This window comes from Homo sapiens, chromosome 17 (assembly GCF_000001405.40).
Source record: "Homo sapiens chromosome 17, GRCh38.p14 Primary Assembly".
NCBI classification, from domain to species: Eukaryota; Metazoa; Chordata; class Mammalia; order Primates; family Hominidae; genus Homo; species Homo sapiens.
Window position 1 is genome coordinate 81,822,330 of NC_000017.11, and position 17,800 is coordinate 81,840,129.

The 17,800-nt window shown below is 58.6% G+C and overlaps 2 protein-coding genes across 9 annotated transcripts, besides 10 other annotated features; both read right to left on the reverse strand.

Annotated features, from left to right (window-relative positions):
- Positions 1-31: 31 nt before the first annotated feature.
- On the reverse strand, positions 32-10,962 carry MCRIP1 (MAPK regulated corepressor interacting protein 1). 8 transcript variants are annotated; one of them, NM_001288798.2, is made up of 7 exons: positions 10,909-10,962; positions 4,051-4,186; positions 2,170-2,225; positions 1,958-2,076; positions 1,083-1,184; positions 880-982; positions 32-578 (listed from the first exon to the last, which is right to left on the reverse strand). In NM_001288798.2, the coding sequence occupies exons 2-6, from the start codon at positions 4,063-4,065 to the stop codon at positions 918-920; spliced, it is 357 nt and encodes a 118-aa protein (NP_001275727.1). In that variant the 5' UTR covers positions 4,066-4,186; positions 10,909-10,962; the 3' UTR covers positions 32-578; positions 880-917. The 8 variants fall into 8 exon arrangements, with proteins under 8 accessions (NP_001275727.1, NP_001087236.1, XP_047291870.1 ...); NM_001093767.3 differs by lacking the exon at positions 4,051-4,186; XM_047435914.1 differs by lacking the exons at positions 1,083-1,184; positions 4,051-4,186.
- Positions 1,729-1,952: a silencer, noted in NCBI's record as "fragment chr17:79781934-79782157 (GRCh37/hg19 assembly coordinates)". NCBI's record gives its function as "represses an EF-1alpha promoter that drives an FKBP-Casp9 reporter gene in an ReSE screen in HepG2 liver carcinoma cells {active_cell/tissue: HepG2}" and the evidence as "EXISTENCE:reporter gene assay evidence [ECO:0000049][PMID:32094911]".
- Positions 3,623-4,256: an enhancer, noted in NCBI's record as "H3K4me1 hESC enhancer chr17:79783828-79784461 (GRCh37/hg19 assembly coordinates)". NCBI's record gives its function as "activates a minimal SCP1, AML or CMV promoter by ChIP-STARR-seq in naive H9 embryonic stem cells {active_cell/tissue: H9 hESC(naive)}" and the evidence as "EXISTENCE:reporter gene assay evidence [ECO:0000049][PMID:30033119]".
- Positions 8,912-9,425: an enhancer, noted in NCBI's record as "H3K4me1 hESC enhancer chr17:79789117-79789630 (GRCh37/hg19 assembly coordinates)". NCBI's record gives its function as "activates a minimal SCP1, AML or CMV promoter by ChIP-STARR-seq in naive H9 embryonic stem cells {active_cell/tissue: H9 hESC(naive)}" and the evidence as "EXISTENCE:reporter gene assay evidence [ECO:0000049][PMID:30033119]".
- Positions 9,426-9,939: an enhancer, noted in NCBI's record as "H3K4me1 hESC enhancer chr17:79789631-79790144 (GRCh37/hg19 assembly coordinates)". NCBI's record gives its function as "activates a minimal SCP1, AML or CMV promoter by ChIP-STARR-seq in naive H9 embryonic stem cells {active_cell/tissue: H9 hESC(naive)}" and the evidence as "EXISTENCE:reporter gene assay evidence [ECO:0000049][PMID:30033119]".
- Positions 10,581-11,140: a silencer, noted in NCBI's record as "silent region_9151". NCBI's record gives its function as "represses an Ori minimal core promoter by ATAC-STARR-seq in GM12878 lymphoblastoid cells {active_cell/tissue: GM12878}" and the evidence as "EXISTENCE:reporter gene assay evidence [ECO:0000049][PMID:35858748]".
- Positions 10,581-11,479: a biological region, named in NCBI's record as "NANOG-H3K27ac-H3K4me1 hESC enhancer GRCh37_chr17:79791171-79791684".
- Positions 10,966-11,479: an enhancer, noted in NCBI's record as "NANOG-H3K27ac-H3K4me1 hESC enhancer chr17:79791171-79791684 (GRCh37/hg19 assembly coordinates)". NCBI's record gives its function as "activates a minimal SCP1, AML or CMV promoter by ChIP-STARR-seq in naive H9 embryonic stem cells {active_cell/tissue: H9 hESC(naive)}" and the evidence as "EXISTENCE:reporter gene assay evidence [ECO:0000049][PMID:30033119]".
- On the reverse strand, positions 11,163-12,721 carry PPP1R27 (protein phosphatase 1 regulatory subunit 27). The gene is made up of 3 exons (NM_001007533.4): positions 12,435-12,721; positions 12,174-12,324; positions 11,163-11,523 (listed from the first exon to the last, which is right to left on the reverse strand). Exons 1-3 carry the CDS (start codon positions 12,622-12,624, stop codon positions 11,400-11,402), a joined length of 465 nt encoding a protein of 154 aa, NP_001007534.1. The 5' UTR covers positions 12,625-12,721; the 3' UTR covers positions 11,163-11,399.
- Positions 11,251-11,370: a silencer, noted in NCBI's record as "silent region_9152". NCBI's record gives its function as "represses an Ori minimal core promoter by ATAC-STARR-seq in GM12878 lymphoblastoid cells {active_cell/tissue: GM12878}" and the evidence as "EXISTENCE:reporter gene assay evidence [ECO:0000049][PMID:35858748]".
- Positions 11,993-12,505: an enhancer, noted in NCBI's record as "H3K27ac-H3K4me1 hESC enhancer chr17:79792198-79792710 (GRCh37/hg19 assembly coordinates)". NCBI's record gives its function as "activates a minimal SCP1, AML or CMV promoter by ChIP-STARR-seq in primed H9 embryonic stem cells {active_cell/tissue: H9 hESC(primed)}" and the evidence as "EXISTENCE:reporter gene assay evidence [ECO:0000049][PMID:30033119]".
- Positions 12,506-13,018: an enhancer, noted in NCBI's record as "H3K27ac-H3K4me1 hESC enhancer chr17:79792711-79793223 (GRCh37/hg19 assembly coordinates)". NCBI's record gives its function as "activates a minimal SCP1, AML or CMV promoter by ChIP-STARR-seq in primed H9 embryonic stem cells {active_cell/tissue: H9 hESC(primed)}" and the evidence as "EXISTENCE:reporter gene assay evidence [ECO:0000049][PMID:30033119]".

The following is a 17,800-nucleotide window of genomic DNA, read 5'->3' on the forward strand; positions in this document are numbered from 1 at the left end:
TGATCTGGGGTTTCCAGCCCTGCCCGGGAGCTGGCTGTGCATGTGTGCCGCAGGGGCAGAGGCCTGACAGACCACCAAGAGGCCACGCCCAGTGCCGCCGCCTTTATTCACAGACCCTCGAGCTCCACAGCCACACAGACACTTAGCTTTCAGAGGGCACAGGAAGGAAAAGGGACCTGGTGACCCTCCCAGCACACCCCAGAGCCAAGACAGACCCAGCAGCAGCACCTCAGGGTCAGCCTGGGTGCCCCTGCCCAGGGGCCACTGTGACCGCAGACACCAGGAGGCCAGGCCTGGTTGCTGGGGACCCCCTTGGGGGGCCCGGCAGTATCCTAGGCCCAAAGAGCTGGTGCCATCTTGAAGCTGATTCAGGGAAGAGGCCAGGCTGGACGGTAGGGGTAGGTGTGAGAAGCTCCCCAGCGTGTCCAGGCCACGGGAGCAGCAAGGGTCTGCGGGGAGCCCAGGCTGGATGGGGTGGGGCTGCCCTTGTCCTGTATCCTGACCACTTCAAGGACAAAACCAGCCCAGTCCCAGCAGCCTGGGAGGCAGCAGAGGCTCCTTCTTCTCCCCTCCTGATCCTGCAGTGGCCAGGGGCAGGAGGGTGAGGGGAGAGGAGAGAGGTCAGGTCAGGGCCCCTGGGGGCCAGGCAGCTTCAAAAATGCAGCCAGGTGGCTGGGGGAGGGCAGGAGGGTGGGCAGGGCCCAGACCCCCATGATGGGGGCAGCCTGAGACCCCCAAGGATGAAGGAAGGGGGCTTGGGAAGGAGAGGCAGGCCTCAGCCGTCAGTCACGCCAGTGCTGGGATCTGCAGCCCGCTGGAGCAAGGCACCCCCATCCCAGGGGCAGGACCACAGGACAGGAGGGAACCGACACCTCGCACCCTGATCTTCCGGAGGCCGGGGAGGGGCACCGGGCGCTCTAGGACTTCTTGGCATCCTGCGTGCTCCGGCGCTTCAGGTCACTCAGGTCGATGGGCTTGAAGGCTGCCAGGGGACAACGCGGTAGGTGGTGGGCACAGGCCCCTCCTGCCCATGAGGCCCGGCCTGCCGGCCCAGCCCTGCCCCCAGGTCAGCCCCCACTCACTCTTCAGGCTGGGGTTAGGGACCTTCTCCACATACTCCTCCACCAGGCCCCGCTCGCCACCCGGCACCTGGCCTCGCAGGTCTCGCTCCACACCCTGCCAGGCTGCAGAGGCAGAGAGTGGTGTGCTCAGGGCCCCCTGCCCCAGGGGGTGGCATCCACGTCACGAGAGTGCCTGCCCTCAGCTCCTGCCCTCCCAGATCCTCTTCTCCCTCAGAAGTGTCCTCCATGCTCCCCCACAGCCCTCTGCCCACCCCAGCCTCACTCACCTGCAGACCCCGTCCCCGCTCCTCTGGCAGGCCTGTCCCTTCCCCGCAAGATGACCAGGACTGTGGTCAGAGGGACCCCTATGACCCTACCCCAGGCTTCCCTGCGCCTCGGAGGCAGCGCATCCTCCTCAGCTAGGCCTCTATCTTTCCCACCTCATCCACGCACCTCCCCGGCCCCAGCACACGGCACACTCCCCTAATCCCAGACAACCACCTCCCGGCCACTTCTGCAACACGCCCGTTCATGGCTGGATGCGTGCCTGTCTGTCTTCAAAGGCCCCTCCCTTTCCCCAGCAAACTCCTCCAGTGCTGCTAGCATGGATGACTGGCTCCCAGTGCGGCCTCTATCTGTGGCATGGCCCACCCCCAGCCCCTCCTCCCGGGCTCCCCCCATGATCAGAACCAGGTCTCCTCTCTACACAAGGTCCCCTCGGCCACCCCTACCCGCCTGGGCCCTGAAGGCTGTGGACACAGTGATGGGGCTATCTGTGCCCTGGAGGGGCAGGGGCAGGGGCCGCAGGAGGTTCCTCGGAGCGTGGGTCCTGGGCTGGGGGCAGAGCTGACTCCGTCAAGGACAGGGCAGGAGCTGTGTGTGGCAGGCGCACCCACCTTCGTAAATGAAGCGGACGTTCTCCTCGTGGGCTGGGGTGAAGATCTCGCTGCTGCTGGGTGGGGAGCGGGGGCTGCTGGTCCTCTTGCCGTTGTACACGACTCTGGAGACGGGGGAGCTGGGGGAGCCTGGCGCATGAGACAGGGCACACAGCAGGGTGGGAGCCCACAACCCGCCCCGGTGGAGACCAGCCCACCTGCCTGAGACCCACCTGGTCATCGCGGGGGCGTCTGATCCTAGCGCTCCACCGCCAGATCCCCTCAGCCTCTGAAACAGAAGCCAGCGCAGGCATGGGACGCAGGGCCACCCTCTCCAGCACAGAAGGAGGGGGAGGCGCAGGGCACACCTGCCTCCTCCCTTCAGATGTGAACAAAGTGCATGGTCCCTCTGCCTACCAGGGTGTCCCCCACAGGCTGGGGTCCAGCCACAGGCAGCCAGTGGGCTCCAGGCAACCCTACGAGGTAGCAGAGAGCTGGCCAGACGAGCCAGACACACACACAACTTGAAGCGATCAAGCCCGCTCAGCGGCCTTGATCCTCCACGTCTCAGGCTCAGACGTGGAGGCCTCAGCCCCAGCACCGGGAGCACTGTGGCCAGAGCCCCTCCCCACGTGGGCTGGTGGGGCCGTCAGCATCTCTGATGTCCAGCTGCCTCTCACTGCAGCAGAGGGCCTGCAGCCCCTCAGCTAACTGACCCTGCTCTCCCTGGTGCAGGGCTGGGCACACGGCTTCTGCTGAGCCTTGATTTCCTTTCTGTAAAACGGGGATGAGCTTCCTAAAGGTGATCCCAGCTCCCCGGCACCTACCCAGGTCCAGCTTCCTGGTTCCCTAGAGCATGAGCCACATCAGTACCCTGGAGATGGAACCAAACTCCAGCTCCCCTGGTGGGCAGAGGGGGTGGCCCTGGAGGAAGCTGCTGGGCCTGACCTGGTGACCAAGACCCTGGGCTGCCGCCCGTTTATGGCCTCCCAGCCCAGGGGAATCCACGGCTCTGGAAAAATGGAGTCTATTTTGAGGCTCAGACGCTCACACTGGCAGGCTGGACAGTGTCCCCACTCCAGCTGAGGACACACAACCCCAAGGTGGGGAAGCTGACAGGGCTGGTCTCCAGCCTGCCCTGCTCCAGAGGGGGCAACTCCAGGTTCTGGGGGAGGGGAGTCCCAGGATTCCCAGGAGGGGGCTTTGAGCACAAGCAACTCCCCTGCCCACCCAGAGGCCCAAGGCTGCAGATACTCCAGGGCACACGGCTGCAGCCCTCACAGAGGGCCAGGAGCACTGAGGCTTCGAGTCCTCTCTGGCTCATTCCGCCTCATGTCAATGGTCCAGCCCTCAAACACCACGTGATAAGAATCCCACGGCTCAAGGGCAAAACCAGCAAAGAGCAGAAAACCAGCTCCCAGCCCTGGAACTCTGTGCCCCATCCCAGGCCAGGAGTGAGGTCCAAAAAGGGCCAGGGGCTCCCCACCCACGGCAGCACCCAGTTTGCTCACAAAGTCACCTCTCCTTTCTTGGACTCTGGGGTCTCTCTGCCCAGTCCTCCTGCCAGGGACTCCAGCCCACGAACACCAGAGCACGGAGGGAAAGGCCTGTTTGGGTTGAGGGTCCCACAGGGACATGCTGCCTGCTGGGAAGCTCCCGTTACAGAGAAAGGCAGAGCTCAGGTAACAGGTAGACTGGCCAGCCCCCTGCCTCGCCCCCTGCTGGCTCTCACCACTGACCGACTGCTGCTTTAGGGGTACCTGCCTCCCAGCCTGCCCTCTCCCGTGGCTCTTCTCCCCATGCATCCTCTGCCTCCAGTGGCCACTTGGCCTTTATGCAGCCACACCTTTGGCCTGGGATCCCCCTGCTGGGTTCGGTTGTCACTCCTGCCCCAGATCCCACTGATTGCCCCACATCCTCCCAAGCAACTACCCTTCCGGGGCTCCCTTTGCCTTGTGTGCACACACACACACACACACACACCTGCCCACACATACCTACCTGCACACACCTTAGCTGAATACATCTGCCACACACATGCATACAACCGCCCGCACACACCTGTCTGTACACACCTGCCCACACACATGCGGCACACACCCATATGAACACACCTGGTGTGGCAGCATGCACTTGTAGTCCCAGCTACTCAGAGGCTGGGGTGGGAGGACTGCTTGAGCCCAGGAGGTCAAGGCTGCAGGGAGCCAAGATCGTGGCACTGCACTCCAGCCCAGGCAACAGAGCAAGACCCTGTGTCAAAAAAAAAAAAAAAGCCCAGGCACGGTGGCTCACGCTTGTAATCCCAACACTTTGGGAGGCAGAGGCGGGTGGATCAGCTGAGGTCAGGAGTTTGAGAGCAGCCTGGCGAACATGGTGAAACCCTGTCTCTACTAAAAATACAAAATTAGTTGGGCGTGGTGGCAGGCACCCGTAATCCCAGCTACTCGGGAGGCTGAAACAGGAGAATCGCTTGAACCCGGGAGGTGGAGGTGCAGTGAGCCAAGATCGCGCCAACGCACTCCAGCCTGGGCGACAGAGCAAGACTCCATCTCAAAAAAAAAAAAAAAAAAAAGGCCAGGCGTGGTGGCTCACGCCTGTAATCCCAGCACTTTGGGAGGCCGAGGCGGGTGGATCACAAGGTCAGGAGTTCAAGACCAGCCTGGCCAATATGGTGAAACCCTGTCTCTACTAAAAATACAAAAATTAGCTGGATGTGGTGGTGGGCACCTGTGGTCCCAGCTACTCAGGAGGCTGAGGCAGGAGAAGTGCTTGAACCTGGGAGGCGGAGGTTGCAGTGAGCCGAGATCGTGCCACTGCACTCCAGCTTGGGCGACAGAGCAAGACTCCGTCTAAAAGAAAAAAAAAAAAAGCCAGGTACGGTTGCTGGCCTATTAAAATAGGCCTGTAATCCCAACACTTTGGGAGGCTAAAGAGGGCAGATCACTTGAGCCCAAGAGTTCAAAACCAGCCTGGGCAACATGGCAAAATCCCATTTCTTTTATTTATTTATTTATTTATTTATTTGAGATGGAGTCTCGCTCTGCTGCCCAGGCTGGAGTGCAGTGGCGCCATCTTGGCTCACTGCAAGCTCCGCCTCCCGGGTTCACGCCATTCTCCCGCCTCAGCCTCCCAAGTGGCTGGGACTACAGAAGCCCGCCACCACGCCCAGCTAATTTTTTGTATTATTAGTAGAGACGGGATTTCGTCCTGTTAGCCAGGATGGTCTCGATCTCCTGACCTTGTGATCCACCCACCTGGGCCTCCCAAAGTGCTGGGATTACAGTCGTGAGCCACCACGCCCGGCCGGCAAAATCCCATTTCTACAAAAATATAAAAACTTTGGCAGGAGTGATGGCTGAGGTGGTAGGATTGCTTGAGCTTGGGAGGTGGAGGCTGTGGTGAGCCATGATCATACCACTGCACTCCAGCCTGGGTGACAGAGGGAGACTCTGTCTCTAAGTAAATAAATTTAAAACCCCATAAATATATACACCTATTGTGCACCCATACATTTTTTTTTTTTTTTTTTTTTTGAGATGGAGTCTCGCTCTGTCGTCCAGGGTGGAGTGCAGTGGCGCGATCTTGGCTCACTGCAAGCTCCGCCTCCCGGGTTGACGCCATTCTCCTGCCTCAGCCTCTCGAGTCGCTGGGACTATAGGCGCCCGCCACCACGCCCAGCTAATTTTTTCTATTTTTAGTGGAGATGGGGTTTCACTGTGTTAGTCAGGATGGTCTCGATCTCCTGACCTCGTGATCCATCTGCTTCGGCCTCCCAAAGTGCTGAGATTACAGGTGTGAGCTACCACACCCAGCTGCACCCATACAGTTTTTTAAGTCAACAAGGAGTCTCGTTTGCCTCCTCTTGTTAGGAAAAGAAATGTACCCACACCCTCAATACCACAGGCTGTGTCCTCTAAGTCTTCCCAGACACGAAGAGCCCTTCCCACCTCTCCCTACTTCTTCCTCCAGCTTAGGGACCCCCAGGGCCTCACACTGCCCCCCCACCCCCCGACCCTGCACACATAGCCCCAGGCTTTCCTGGATGTGCCAGCAGTTCCAAGAGGCCAGGGGCCTGCTGTCCCCCTGGAAGCACAATAAACGGTTCTGCAGCTCATTCAGCCTCACTGCCTCCTGGGGCCCTGCCAAGGAGCTGGGTGCCCAATTCTGACCCAGAAGGAATTTTCCATTAAAAATCAAGTATCTGTGCACAACCTATGACCCAGCCATTCTGCTCCTAGGTACACACACCCAAGATGCGTACAAGGACAGCTGGAGAATTTCACTCGTAATTACCCAAAGGGAAGAGCCACCGCAGAAGGGTAGCAATGCACACCTGGCCTATTCCCATAAGGGAATCAGCAGCCAGAGGGGGCACCACAGCCCCCACGCAGAGACGGACACCAAGCACAAGAGCAGGACCTGAGGGGCCACAGACAGGCCCTGGGACACATGGAATGGGAGGAAGCTGCAGAGGGCCGAGGCATGGACATAACTGGAGCCGGGGCCAGGACGGTGCCTGTGAGGGCAGGAAGGAGCCATCCACGGAGAGGGCTGGAGGTCAAGCAAGCTCTGAACCAAGAGGTCACCATGGAGCCACAATAAGGCCTCCAACAACCTCAGCGGGGCGGCCTAGCATAGTGAGGCACACAGCTGAGGGGGGAGGGCAGGAAGTGTGGCTGGCAGGCAGCTCAGCCCTAGCTCAGGCCTGGTGGGCAGCAGGCTGGTGTCTGGCTAAGCAGAGGGAACCCTGAGGCACAACATCCATGCATGGGGTCCCTGAGGTGGTGGATGTGGAGGGACCCAGGACCATAGTGGGTGAGAGTGAGCAGGGGACAATGGCACAGGCCCAGAGAAGCGCCGGGGGCAGCCGGAAAAGACCCAGCACACGGCAGACGGCCACCTGAGGTGGCAGCCCCTGAGCCAGCAGGAGACTGACACCTCAGCTGCCCAGGTAAAGGGGAGTGGCGGCCTGACCGAGGCCGACCACAGGTGAAGGGTGGGAGGGAGGGGCTCCATTCAGCCCAGAGAGACAGCCCCACTTCAGAGGTCTCGAGACCCCATCCAGCCCGGCCCCCTGCCTTCATCCCACCTGGGCCACCACCAGGGTGACAGCAGTAAGGGAGGGTCAGGCGATGCCTCGGTCCCGTTTTCCTTCCCTCTTTCTGTCAGAATCAAGACCGAGCATGCCGATGTCCCGGCCACGGCCCCGTACTCCTCAGTCGCTACACCACACCCCACTGCCTCTGAGAGTTTTCTTTCATAGTTTTCATATTTTAACATCTTTGAAACTGGGCTGCGCCTGACAATTGCTAACACGTCAGAATTTAACCAATGGTGGTTTTTATTTCTCAATGTACTGTAAAATATAGCGCAGCTCACAATGGCTGGGGTCTCACATGGGAGGACCCTCGATGACACTCTCCTGGCCCAGGACCACCCTTCCAGAGCCCCTCAGGCTACATGGTCTTTAGGTGTTTTCTCCCCTTCCCCTCAAAGTCTTCCACATCCCACGCCACCCCACCCCACCCAGTGCTGGGACAACCTCCAGTTCCAGACACCCAGCATCAGGACAGGTGGACACAGATGTCTACATGATCTTCCTGAAACCCTATCCCCAAGTCACTTAGCACTAGGGTGTCACCCAGGCCCTCTGCTGCCATCAAGCCCACTGTCCAGTCCCAACTTGTTTTACCAGGTGTCACCTGCTGCTCCACTCCTGCCCCAACAGCCTTTGCCACAGGACTACCTGCCACCAGCCACACAGAGCACAGGCCACCTGCAAGTCTGTGCATTCTGCAGGACGTGACTGCCTGCTTCCGTGGCCGTCCAGCCTACAGGGCCTGGCCTACTGGGCTGCAGGTATTCCCCTGCTCTGGGGCCCCGGGCAAGCTCCTCTGAGCCTCAGCATCCTCATTCAAAGTGATGCAGCCCACAGGTAGGCTCGCCTGCTCCAATAGGGACGGAAGCACAGCCATGGAAAGCCAGCAGCTCAGTGAGGTCTCTGTGGCTCCTTATCCAATACGATGATGGACAGGACAAGCATGTGCTGTATGGTTCAACTGGATGCTGTTAAGAATGAAAGGGGCTGGGGCCAGGCGTGGTGGCTCACGCCTGTAATCCCAGCACGTTGGGAGGCTGAGGTGGGCAGATCACCTAAGGTCAGGAGTTCGAGACCAGCCTGGCCAGCATGGTGAAACCCCGTCTCTACTAAAAATACAAAAAGTAGCCAGGCGTGGTGGCAGTCGCCTGTAATCCCAGCTACTCAGGAGGCTGCGGCAGGAGAATCGCTTGAACCCGGGAGGCAGAGGTTGCAGTGAGCCAAGATCACGCCATTGCACTCCAGCTTGGGGGACAAGAGTGAGACTTCATCTCAAAAAAAGAAAAAAGAAAGGGGCTAGATGTGGTGGTAATCCTAGCACTTTGGGAGGTCAGGAGTTCAAGACTGGCCTGGGCAACATAGAAAGAGCCCCATCTCGACCAGGTGCGGTGACTCACGCCTGTAATCCTGGCACTCTGGGAGGCTGAGGTGGGCAGATCATAGGAGGTCAGGAGTTTGAGACCAGCCTGGGCAACATGGCAAAACCCCATTGCTACTAAAAAAAAAAAATACAAAAATTAGGCCAGGCGCAGTGGCTCATGCCTGTAATCCCAGCACTTTGGGAGGCCAAGGTGGAAGGATCATCTGAGGTCAGGAGTTCGAGACCAGCCTGGCCAACATACAGTGAAACCCCATCTCTACTAAAAAAAAATACAAAAATTAGCTGGGCGTGGTGGCACATGCCTGTAGTCCCAGCTACTTGGGAAGCTAAGGCAGGAGAATCGCTTGAACCCAGGAAGCAAAGGTTACAGTGAGCCGAGATTGTGCCACTGCACTCCAGCCTGGGCAACAGAGCAAGACTCTGTCTCTCAAAAAAAAAAAAAAAAATTAGCCAGGCATGGTGGTATGCACCTGTAATTCCAGCTTCTCAGGAGTCTGAGGCAGGAGAATCGCTTTATACCCAGGAGGCGCAGGTTGCAGTGAGCAGAGACCATGTCACTGCACTCCAGCTTGGGAAACAGAGACAGAGCAAGACTCTATCTCAAAACAAACAACAAACAAACAAACAAAAAAGGGCCCCATCTCTGCTCTCTGCCCTCAAAAAAAAAAAAAAAAAAAAAGAACGAAAGGGATGCTGTTGATTATCAAGAATGAAACAACTCTTCTGGGTAAACTGGAATGTAGAGTCAGCCCACTCTTAGGAAGGTGGAGGCCCAGAAAAGCACTGGGGACTGAAAGAAGAGACTGCCACCAGCCACAGCAAACACTTGTCGGGCTAAGGGCAGGGCAGCCACCACGCTGGGCCCTTACACACATTGCCCACATCCCCACAGCTGGACCAGAAAGATACCCTGAGAACTTCCAGTTCAGCGCTGAAGGAGCCTGCCACCAAGCAGCGGTGCCCCTCCCAGGGCCTCCGGGGCCACAGCATTTGGGGCTCAGCCCGAATGCTGCAGCTGGCCTGAGCCTCCCAAAGTCTGCCTCCACTCTGCCTGCACCCTACAGCAGGTTTCTGGACTCCCTGAAAGACCCACTCCCTACTGATACCCATGTGGCTTTGCTCAGAGACTGGCCCTCCCTCCAGATAGGGAGGGGAGTCGCATTGGGTAGAACTATGTAGAACCTTCCTCCTCCAGGGGACCCAAGGGCTTTAGAGACTTCCAGGTGGGGAGGGGACAGAACCCCAGTCTCTGGCCTCCCAGTCCCAAATTCTTTCCCCCACACAGCCACATGCCTAAGAACAGGCCATGAGGTAACACTCCAGCAACGTGACAATAGTGAGGTTCCAGAGTTAGAATCAGTGACGCCATCGCTAGTCACCATGCTCCTCCGGAGTTTCTGAGATTCAAAGTTTCTAAGACTCCACTTTCTCTTCGTGTTCTGTGTCTTTTTCAGCCAACGAGGCTAGAAAATGATCTATTGCCCAAGCAGGCGCACGAGGATACGGCTGTCACAGCTGCCACACTGGCACCTCGTGGTCCCTTGAAGACCGCCCAGGGAAAGCCTCTAAGCGCTGCACCACCTCCTCACCCTCTCCCCTGGGTGGTGGCAGCAACAGCCTGAGCGTGTGCGCCCTCCTCCCCATCCTGATCCCACTCAAACCACAACCTCCCCTGACTCGCCCCAAATCCAGCCCTGTTGGCTCTTCCTTCACGTCCCACTTCCCACCCTCTCTACACGTTCTCGCCACATCCCACCCAAAGTCCACTCACTGGTCCCTGTTTACACCTCAGGGCCTTTGGTCAAGCTGTCTTCTCTGCCCAAAACTATCCTACTCATCCTTGGGGATCCAGCTGAAAGACCACCTTCCTGCGACGGCTACCCAGGGGCAGGAGGGAGAGAAGCACAGCCCGTGCCCCGTATGGCTCCCGCCCCCGCGGTCACAACCACCGCCCAGTGAGTGCCTAGAAGGCAGGCGGAGGCCCCGTTCTCCCCGTTAGGCCCAGCATCACCGCCCGGGGAGACGGGAAAGAGGGCAAGGCCGAAAAATGGACAGAAAAAGAATGCGGACGGCCGGGCCCGCGGCGCTCCGAGAATCGGAGGCATCCTCAGGCACGGTCCCTCCAGGAGACCGGGAAAGCGGGGCTCTGTCAGCCCCAAAGCCCCGACGGCGGCAGAAGGCTGGCCCGCTGCGAGCGTCCGGCGGCGCTGGGTCCCCGGCACCTGCCCCTGCCTGGGCGGGAAAGGCGCTCAGTCCGAGCCGCGCCCTCCCCACGCGCGCTCCCAGGCGCCCCGCGGGCCGCGCCCTCCTGCAGGTGCCGGGCGGGGAACGCGGGCCCCTCCCTCGGACCCCGGCTGCCCGGCCACTCCCCCGCGCCCGGCCCCGCCCGGCCCTGCAGGGCACCCGCGGCCGCGCGGCGACACCAGGGCGGGGCCCAGCCGCGCCCGCCCCGCCCCGCCCCGTCCCCGCCGCCCGGCGCCGCACCCGCCTCACCTCGCCCCGACCCGCCGCCACCGCCTCTTCCAGCTGGGAGGCCCCGCCGGAAGTGACGCCACCGCGGGCTGCACAGGCGCAGGCGCAGCGCGCTCTCACGTGACCGCCCGGCTGGCGGAGGGCGGGGGCGGCCGGGATTCCCGTGCGGGGTTGGGGCTCGTGGCGGAAGCTCCGGACCTCCCTGGCCCGAACGGTGAGCGCCGCCGGCCACTGGGAGCGGCCAGAGCCCAGTAATCAGGACACCACCACAGGGACCACGTGTGTAGACCCAGGCCCCCTCACCTGGGAGTCACGTTTATTGAAAAAGTAAAAAGTGTCACAGTAAAAAATTCACCTGGGGACAAAGCCAGGCCTAGGAGGGGTGGCGGGGTCGTGGAGGGACGGGTCCGGCCGCCCCTGGCCCACGGGTGGGGCACGTGCTGGCCCATGGGCGACGCGCGGCTTCTCCAGGGAGGCGGCCCTGGGCGCGGGGGCGGGCGGGCAAAGCTGGCTCAGTCCATCGTGGTCCCTTTGAAGAGCTCCACCAGCTCCTTGTAGTCCGGGTCGATGAGGTCGGAGGGCAGGTCGCCATCGTCGTTGGTTGCATCCCTGTCCGCTCCCAGGGAGATAAGGTACCTGGGGTGTAAAGGTCGCTCTGGCTGAAGCGGGGAGGAGCCAGGAGAGTGCTCGCCCCAACCCGGGTCAGAGGGCCAGAGTCCTGGGGTCACCTGTGTGTCCCCCACCTTGGGGTCCTAAGGTCCGGGTAGGGTGAGGAGGAAGAAACCTGACCCTTTGGAAGCTGTGGCCAGCTTTTCAAGTTGGTTCTATTGAGGACAAAGGCAGAAACAGGATTCCAGAAGCCTCTAGGGTTTGCAGGGTTCTTTTTTTGTTTTTTTTGTTTTTTGAGACAGAATTTCGCTCTTATCACCCAGGCTGGAGTGCAATGGCATGATCTCGACTCACGGCAACCTCCACTTCCCGGGTTCAAGTGATTCTCCTGCCTCAGCCTTGAGTAGCTGGGATTACAGGCGCGCGCCACCACGCGTGGCTAATTTTGTATTTTTAGTAGTGAGAGGGTTCTTGTCACGAACTCCTGACCTCAGGTGATCCGCCCACCTCGGCCTCCCAAAGTGCTGGGATTACAGGCGCAGGCGTGAGCCACCGCCCCCAGCCTCTAGGGTTCTTGCCGACACCACCCGGGCTACATTTTGGGGCTCCCATCCTGGGGACCCACTGAGGCCCGGAGGGGTCGGGTTCAAGCCTGTGTAGACCCAGGGCCCCCTCACCTGGCTATGTCAGGGTACCCATCGCTGCAGGCAATGTGCAGGGGTGTCCAGCCCGCCTCATCTCGCTGGTGAATGTCAGCCCCGTATTTGACCAGCAGCTTCACGCATTCCAGGTTTCCAGAGAGCACGGCTTCATGCAAGGCGGCCAGGCCTGGGCAGGGAGGACGGGAGGGGTCAAGACTGAGCCCCAGGTCAGGTCCTCCTTGCTGGCCTCTCCCACCACCCCACAGGCCCTGGCCAGCTCTTCCAGGCTTTGCTCACCTGAGGGGTGGATGGTGGCCAGGGAGACTTTCCGAGTCCGGATGAAGCGCCCCACCTGCTCCAGGTCACCCTGCCGGATGTGGTCCAAGAACAGGACATCATTAGGGAAACGCACGCTGCGATCAGCCAGCATCCGCCGCCGCCGCTGCCGTGGGCTGTAGCGGGCATAGCGGGCAGTTCTGCTAGGCATCTTGGGCGCTGTGGGGCAGGTTGCCCCTGGGGACCCTACTGCACTGGGGTTAATAATGTATCCGGTCCCGACCAGATCAGCTTGAGGGCTCCTGTCGGACGAGCCCCGGCCTCTGACTTGCTTATATAGGGCTCAGGGGCTATATAAAGCTGCACGGTCATCCTCCCCGGCGCGAGGGGCTGAAACTGAGCTGCACCCCCGCCCCGCACCCCAGATCATGTTTAGTGACTCATCTTTCAGCCCATCTGTCACCGTGCCCGGCCAAAGGGGTCAGATCATTCCTGCCTGTCGCTCCCTGCCCCACAGCTGGACCTAGAAGGTGCCTTACCGAGGGCAGGAGGAGGCACCGGTGCAGAACCCATGAGATAGCTAGGAACGCGAGATCAAGGGCACAGTAGGTACCAAGGTCATTGGAAGGGCTTTTGCTCTCTACCTCCTGGAAAGTGAGGGGCGGCCACCCCCTCCACATCTGCAGAAGCACAGGTCCACCGTGCTGTGGTGAAACAGGCCTTAGCCCCTCCATCTCCCTACCTGTCAGTTTTCACCTTCCAGCGTGGCTTGCCTCACTCTCAGTGGTTTTCCCAAAACTACTCTGATGGCCTAGGCAGGCGGATCATGAGGTCAGGAGATCGAGACCATCCTGGCTAACACGGTGAAACCCCGTCTCTACTAAATATACAAAAAATTAGCCGGGCGTGATGGCGGGCGCCTATAGTCCCAGCTACTTGGGAGGCTGGGGCAGGAGAATGGCGTGAACCCGGGAGGCGGAGGTTGCAGTGAGCCGAGATCGTGCCACTGCACTCCAGCCTGGGCGACAGAGCAAGACTCTGTCTCAAAAAAAAAAAAAAAAAAAAAAAAAATGACTCTGATGGTGCTGCTTCCTGCTCAGAAACCCCGCAGGCATCCTTGGCTGGGATCTCAGTGCCTCAGGCTCCTGCTCAGTCAGTCCTGCGACTTTTCCTCCACGTGCCTGGCTCCCCTGCCTCACACACCTGCAGGGGACAGGGTATTCCCTACACACTCATGGGTTCACCCTGCATAGTGTCTCTGCATTCCAGGTTTGACACACATACTCACACTTAAGGTGGTGTCCAGTTTGCTCTCCACGTTCAGGGACCATCACACCCTGGGTGGTGTGCTCTCTCTGCCCCGGCCCCTGTGATCTTACCTCTAGAAGCACAGCCAAGGGAATTTTTTTGTTTGTTTGTTTGAGTCAGAGTCTCACTCTGTCGCCCAAGCTGGACTACATTGGCGCAACCTCGGTTCACTGCAACCTCTGCGTCCCGGGTTCAAGTAATTATTTTGCCTCACCTTCTCGAGTAGCTGGGACTACAGGGGCATGCACCACCACGTCTGGCTAATTTTTGTATTTTTAGTAGAGACGGGGTTTCACCATATTGGCCAGGCTGGTCTCAAACTCCTGGCCTTGTGATCCGCCCGCCTCGGCCTCCCAAAGTGCTGGGATTACAGACGTGAGCCACTGCGCCCAGCCAAGGGAATTTTTAAAACTCGTGTTCCAACAGGCTCTTCATTGCTGGCTGCCTTTACTTTTGCAACAGCCCCAGTGGAGGTCCAAAGTAGGGCTTGGACTACAGGACATGAGCAAGTGGATGGGATGGGACACAGACACAGAGTTGACCAGGGAGGTCTTTGTTGTCAGGGACAGCGATCGATTGTGCTAGGAGCACTGCAGCACTTGAAGCTGGATGGATGAGTCTGCCGGGGCTGTCTTCACAGACCACAGACTGAGTGGCTTAAAAAACAGATGGTTGGCCAGGCGTGGTGGCTCAACCCTGTAATCCCAGCACTTTGGGAGGCCGAGGCAGGTGGATCACCTGAGGTCAGGTGTTCGAGACCAGCCTGACCAACAAGGTGAAACCCCTTCTCTACTAAAAAATACAAAAATTAGGCCGGGCACGGTGGCTCATGCCTGTAATCCCAGCACTTTGAGAAGCCGAGGCGGGTGGATCACGAGGTCAGGAGATTGAGACCATCCTGGCTAACACAGTGAAACCCCGTCTCTACTAAAAATACAAAAAAAAAAAAAAAAAATTAGCCGGGCGTGGTGGCGGGCGCCTGTAGTCCCAGCTACTCAGGAGGCTGAAGCAGGAGAATGGCGTGAACCCGGGAGGTGGAGCTTGCAGTGAGCCGAGATCGTGCCACTGCACTCCAGCCTGGGTGACAGAGCAAGACTCCATCTCAAAAAAAAAGGCCAAGCGCGTTGGCTTACGCCTGTAATCCCAACACTTTGGGAGGCCAAGGCAGGTGGATCACGAGGTCAGGAGATCGAGACCATCTGGCTAACACGGTGAAACCCCATCTCTACTAAAAAATACAAAAAATTTTCTGGGCATGGTGGCAGGCGCCTATAGTCCCAGCTACTTGGGAGGCTGAGGCAGGAGAATGGCGTGAACCTGGGAGGCAGAGCTTGCAGTGAGCCAAGATCGCGCCACTGCACTCCAGCCTGGGCGACAGAGCGAGACTCTGTCTCGGGAAAAAAAAATACAAAAATTAGCTGGGTGTGGTGGCAGGCGCCTCTAGTCCCAGCTACTCGGGAGGCTGAGGCAGGAGAATTGCTTGAACCCAGGAGGTGGAGGTTGCAGTGAACTGACATCACACCACTGCACTACAGCCTGGGGATGGAGCAAGACTCCGTCTCAAAAAAAAAAAAAAAAAAAAGACGGTCCGTCCCAGAGCTCTGGAGGCTGAAATCTGGGATCCGGGTTTCAGCAGGGCAGGTTCCTCCTGAGGCTCTGAGGAGCGTCTGTCGCAAGCCTCTCCCCAGCTTCTGGTGCCGCCAGCAATCCTGGTGTCCTTGGCCCTAGCAGCATCGCCACGATCTCGGCCTTCATCTCCATGGTGTTCTCCCAGCCTTTGTCACTGTTCACATCACCCCCTTGTATAAGGACACCAGTTATAGTTGGGTATTGCCTCATCTTAACCAGTGACATCTGCAAGCATCCTGTTTCCAAACAACGGTCACATTCTGAGGTCTTGAGGGCTAGGACTTCAACGTTAATTAAGGAGACACATGAGTCAACCCATAATGCTGGTAAAACCCTGCAGGTGGTCACTAAAGGCCTGAATGAGGACAGAACCAAGACTGGCCAGCAGCTCTTTGCAGGGGCAGAGGAGAGCTGGGCCACCAACAGCCTCGCATCATTAGGCTGATCTGCATCCAACGAAATCAAATCAGCAAACATATTAGACACCTCTAGGTGCAAAGCCTTGGCCAAATGCTATGGGAGGGCTGGGCACAGTGGCTCATGCCTGTAATCCCAGCACTTTGGGAAGCCAAGGCTGGAGGGTCAGTTGAAGCGAGGGGTTTAAGCAGCCTGGGCAACATAGTGAGACTCCTTTGCTTTAAAAAAATTTAAAACTGGCCGGGTGCAGTGGCTCACACCTGTAATCCCAGCACTTTGGGAGGCCGAGGAGGGTGGATCACGTGAGGCCAGGAGTTCGAGATCAGTCTGGACAACATGGAGAAACCCCCCGTCTCTGCTAAAAATACAAAAATTAGCCGGATGTGGCGGCGTGCGCCTGTAATCCCAGCTACTCAGGAGGCTGAGGCAGTAGAATCTCTTGAACCCGGGAGGCGGAGGTTGCAGTGAGCCAAGATCGCGCGACTGCACTCCAGCCTGGGCGACAGAGCAAGACTCCATCTTAAAAATAATAATAATAAAAAATTTAAAAAATAAAATAAAAAGAGTAAAAGGAAAAATGCTGCTGGAGAAGCGGCGCTGACGGAGGGTCCCTGCCTGGCGAAATTTCCTGGACCTGCGTTGGTACCCAGGTGCACCCCCTGTCCCCTCCCCTGCCCCCTGGGCCCCTCGCCTCGGGTACACCACCTCTCCAGTCACACACTGGAGTGGCCCTGGAGCCTCTAGCCAGGCCCGGGCCTGCAGACACCCTGAGGGGGGTCGGCTCCCAGCGTGGCTGCATTTCTAGGGACTCAGGGAAAGGTATGGACAGTTGGAATTCCAGGTCACTTGGGAGGAGCCAGGCCGTTTTTTCTGGCTTGTTTACGTGAAGCCTGGAGACGAAACGTTGTACACTGGAGACAGGCTCTCCTCTGATGTGAAGATTGCCTTTTCTCATGTTGTGGAAAGTTCTGTCTGCCCTCCCCCCTCAGAGGATCAGATGAAAGCACGCTGGATGAAGCTGCCACCAACAGTGTGACGAGAAGGAACGCCCTTTCCAGGAGTGACCGGGCCTCAGGCTAGAGACGCGGTGGGGGCAAGACCACCCGGTGAGCCTGTTTGGCGACCCCAAGCAAGCCCCTGTGTCCCTCCTGCTGGAGGTGAGCTGGGAGCGTGCAGAGCTTTTGGCTTTGGGGTTTCTATCTGGATCACCCGAGGGACTGGTGCCTGAAGCCTCGCCAGTCACAACAGATTTCCTTGAAAGGTATTTATGTGCCTTCTATTCTAATAAGGATGTGGGAACCGTGTGTTCTACGCCATGATAGACACTCCCTGGAGCTCCTCACCCTTGAAACGTTCCATCAGAAGCCGGCCGTCAGCAGTCGTGCCTGCTCCACCGTGGGCGAAGCGTGCTGTTCATGCAGCGTGACGTCAGAGCCAAACCTGTCTTCATGGAGTTTTGTCCCTGATTCTTCTTGGTCCATATGAACTTGCAAATTGACCTAGTTTGCATGACTCTAAGTTTCTGCCTTCTGGAGGACGAACTAGAACATCTGATGCACAAGGTTTACCATCACACTTTTTTTATTTTTTTTTGAGACGGAGTCTCGCTCCGTCGCCCAGGCTGGACTGCAGTGGTGCGATCTGGGCTCACGGCAAGCTTCGCCTCCCGGGTTCACGCCATTCTCCCGCCTCAGCCTCCGGGGTAGCTGGGACTACAGGCGCCCGCCACCACGTCCAGCTAATTTTTTGTATTTTTAGTAGAGACGGGGTTTCACTGTGTTAGCCAGGATGGTCTCTATCTCCTGACCCCGTGATCCGCCCGCGTCGGCCTCCCAGAGTGCTGGGATTACAGGCGTGAGCCACCGCGCCCGGCCTACCGTCCAACTTTTAGAAGTCCAGTGAGGCCTGGCTGGGCTCAGAAGCTCACGCCTGTAATCCCAGCACTTTGGGAGGCCAAGGTAGAAGGATCACTTGAAGCCAGGAGTTGAAGACCAGCCTGGGCAACATAGGGAGACCCCCTTCCCTTCAAAAAA